The following is a 4618-nucleotide window of genomic DNA, read 5'->3' as shown; positions in this document are numbered from 1 at the left end:
TTTGTTCCTTCCAGCTTCTGGAGGTCACCAACATCCCTTGGTTTGTGTCCCCCTTGCTCTATCTTCAAAGTCAGCAACTGTAGCATTAATCTTGCTTCCATTATCACATCTCTTTTTATGTCCCTCTTGCCGCCCTCTTTCACTTTTAAGGAATTTTGTGATTATATTGGGCCCACCAGGATAATCTCCCGATTTTAAAGTCATTTGATTAGCAAACTTAATTCCACCTGCAACCTCAAGGTCCCTTTGCCATGTAACCAAGCATATTCACAGATTCCATGGATTAGGACGTTGACTTCCGGGTGGCGGGCATTATTCTGCTTACACGGCTAATATAATTAGACTGAAAGTTGTTTTATCAATGGTGGTGGTAGAAGCCAGAATATAGTAGAATGATATCTTCAGAGTACTAAGAGAAAATAACTGTCAAACTAAAAGAGTATACCAAATGAAAATTGAAATTTGACAAATGAAAATTGAGTTGACCAACAATACACTCTTACCAGTGGAAATTTTAAGGATGTACTTCAGGTGATCCCATACAGAAGGTCTAAGATAGAAGAAGGAATTATGAGAAAGAAAATGGTAAACAATGTGTTTAAATCTAAACAAACACTGACTATATAAAACAATGATACTTACGCCTAATTTGTAGTGATTAAAAAAATAAACAAGATACTGACTCATGAAGAAATAGAAAATCTGAATAGATCTATAATTAGTAAAGAGGTTGAATCAGTAATCAAAAACTTCCCAAAGAGAAAAGCCCGGGACCAGATGAATATTGAAATTGATGTTTGTCGAATTCTAACAAACATCAAAAGAAAAATTAATACCAAATCTTCTCAAAGTCTTCCAAAAAATTGAAGCGTAGAAAACACGTCCTAACTTATTCTATGAAGCTGCTATATTCTGATACCAAAGCCAAAGACAATAGAAGAAAACTGTAGAGCAATATTCTTTATGAATATTAATGCAAAAATCCTCAACAAAACACCAGCAAACCGAATCCAGCAGTTTATGAAAAGGATTATACACCATGACCAAGTGGGATTTCTTCCTGGAATGCAATGATGAGTCAATATACAAAACTCGATCGATGCAATACACCACATTAATAGAATGAGGGGAAAAACATTTGATAATATCAATTAAAACAGACAAAGAAGGCCATTACATAATGGTAAAGGGATCAATTCAACAAGAAGAGCTAACTATCCTAAATATATATGCACCCAATACAGGAGCACCCAGATTCATAAAGCAAGTCCTTAGAGACCTACAAAGAGACTTAGACTCCCACACAATAATAATGGGAGACTTTAACACCCCACTGTCAACATTAGACAGATCAACGAGACAGAAAGTTAACAAGGATATCCAGGACTTGAACTCAGCTCTGCACCAAGCAGACCTAATAGACATCTACAGAACTCTCCACCCCAAATCAACAGAATATACATTCTTCTCAGCACCACACCACACCTATTCCAAAACTGACCACATAGTTGGAAGTAAAGCACTCCTCAGCAAATGTAAAAGAACAGAAATTATAACAAACTGTCTCTCAGACCACAGTGCAGTCAAACTAGAACTCAGGATTAAGAAACTCACTCAAAATCGCTCAACTACATGGCGACTGAACAACCTGGTCCTGAATGACTACTGGGTACATAACGAAATGAAGGCAGAAATAAAGATGTTCTTTGAAACCAATGAGATCAAAGACACAACATACCAGAATCTCTGGGACACATTTAAAGCAGTGTGTAGATGGAAATTTATAGCACTAAATGCCCACAAGACAAAGCAGGAAAGATCTAAAATTGACACCCTAACATCACCATTAAAAGAACTAGAGAAGTAAGAGCAAACACATTCAAAAGCTAGCAGAAGGCAAGAAATAACTAAGATCAGAGCAGAACTGAAGGAGATAGAGAAACAAAAAACCCTTCAAAAAATCAATGAATCCAGGAGCTGGTTTTTTGAAAAGATCAACAAAACTGAGAGACTGCTAGCAAGACTAATAAAGAAGAAAGAGAGAAGAATCAAATAGATGCAATAAAAAATGATAAAGGGGATATCACCACCGATCCCACAGAAATACAAACTACCATTATAGAATACTATAAACACCTCTACACAAATAAACTAGAAAATCTAGAAGAAATGGATAAATTTCTGGACACACACACCCTCCCAAGACTAAACCAGGAAGAAGTTGAATCCCTGAATAGACCAATAACAGGCTCTGAAATTGAGGCAATAATTAATAGCCTACCAACCAAAAAAAGTCCAGGACCAGAGGGATTCACAGCCGAATTCTACCAGAGGTACAAGGAGGAGCTGATACCATTCCTTCTGAAACTAATCAAATTGATAGAAAAAGAGGGAATCCTCCCTAACTCATTTTATGAGGCCAGCATCATCCGGATACCAAAGCCTGGCAGACGCACAACAAAAAAAGAGAATTTTAGACCAATATCGCTGATGAACATCGATGCCAAAATCCTCAATAAAATACTGGCAAAACGAATCCAGCAGCACATCAAAAAGCTTATCCACCATGATCAAGTGGGCTTCATCCCTGGGATGCAAGGCTGGTTCAACATATGCAAATCAATAAACCTAATCCATCATATAAACAGAACCAAAGACAAAAAATCACATGACTATCTCAATAGATGCAGAAAAGGCCTTTGACAAAATTCAACAGCCCTTCATGCTAAAATCTCTCAATAAATTAGGTATTGATGGGACGGATCTCAAAAAAATAAGAGCTATCTATGACAAACCCACAGCCAATATCATACTGAATGGGCAAAAACTGGAAGCATTCCCTTTGAAAACTGGCACAAGACAGGGATGCCCTCTCTCACCACTCCTATTCAACATAGTGTTGGAAGTTCTGGCCAGGGCAATCAGGCAGGAGAAAGAAACAAAGGGTATTCAATTAGGAAAAGAGGAAGTCAAATTGTCCCTGTTTGCAGATGACATGATTGTATATTTAGAAAACCCCATCGTCTCAGCCCAAAATCTCCTTAAGCTGATAAGCAACTTCAGCAAAGTCTCAGGATACAAAATCAATGTGCAAAAATCACAAGCATTCTTATACACCAATAACAGACAAACAGAGAGCCAAATCATGAGTGAACTCCCATTCACAATTGCTTCAAAGAGAATAAAATACCTAGGAATACAACTTGCAAGGGATGTGAAGGACCTCTTCAAGGAGTACTACAAACCACTGCTCAATGGAATAAAAGGGGACACAAACAAATGGAAGAACATTCCATGCTCATGGATAGGAAGGATCAATATCATGAAAATGGCCATACTGCCCAAGGTAATTTATAGATTCAATGCCATCCCCATCAAGCTACCAATGACTTTCTCCACATAATTGGAAAAAACTACTTCAAAGTTCATATGGAACCAAAAAAGAGCCCGCATTGCCAAGTCAATCCTAAGCCAAAAGAACAAAGCTGGAGGCATCACGCTACCTGACTTCAAACTATACTACAAGGCTACAGTAACCAAAACAGCATGGTACTGGTACCAAAACAGAGAAATAGACCAATGGAACAGAACCGAGCCCTCAGAAGTAATACCACACATCTACAACCATCTGATCTTTGACAAACCTGACAAAAACAAGAAATGGGGAAATATTCCCTATTTAATAAATGGTGCTGGGAAAACTGGCTAGCCACATGGAGAAAGCTGAAACTGGATCCCTTCCTTACACCTTATACAAAAATCAATTCAAGATGGATTAAAGATTTAAATGTTAGACCTAAAACCATAAAAACCCTAGAAGAAAACCTAGGCAATACCATTCAGGACATAAGTATGGACAAGGACTTCATGTCTAAAATACCAAAAGCAATGGCAACAAAAGCCAAAATTGACAAATGGGATCTAATTAAACTAAAGAGCTTCTGCACGGCAAAAGAAATTACTATCAGAATGAACAGGCAACCTACGGAATGGGAGAAAATTTTTGTAATCTACCTATCTGACAAAGGGCTAATATCCAGAATCTACAAAGAGCTTAAACAAATTTACAAGAAAAAATCAAACAACCCCATCAAAAAGTGGACAAAGGATATGAACAGACACTTCTCAAAAGAAGACATTTATGCAGCCAACAGACACATGAAAAACTGCTCATCATCACTGGCCATCAGAGAAATGCAAATCAAAACCACAATGAGATACCATCTCACACCACTTACAATGGCGATCATTAAAAAGTCAGGAAACAACAGGTGCTGGAGAGGATGTGGAGAAATAGGAACACTTTTACACTGTTGGTGGGACTGTAAACTAGTTCAACCATTGTGGAAGACAGTGTGGCGATTCCTCAAGGATCTAGAACTAGAAATACCATTTGACCCAGCCATCCCATTACTGGGTATATACCCAAAGGACTATAAATCATGCTGCTGTAAAGACACATGCACATGTATGTTTACTGCGGCATTATTCACAATAGCAAAGACTTGGAACCAACCCAAATGCCCATCAATGATAGACTGGATTCAGAAAATGTGGTACATATACACCATGGAATACTATGCTGCCATAAAAAAGGATGAGTTCATGTCCTTTGTAG

Source organism: Homo sapiens, chromosome X (genome assembly GCF_000001405.40).
Source record: "Homo sapiens chromosome X, GRCh38.p14 Primary Assembly".
In the NCBI taxonomy this organism is placed as follows: Eukaryota; Metazoa; Chordata; class Mammalia; order Primates; family Hominidae; genus Homo; species Homo sapiens.
Note: the sequence above shows the minus strand (reverse complement) of the source record.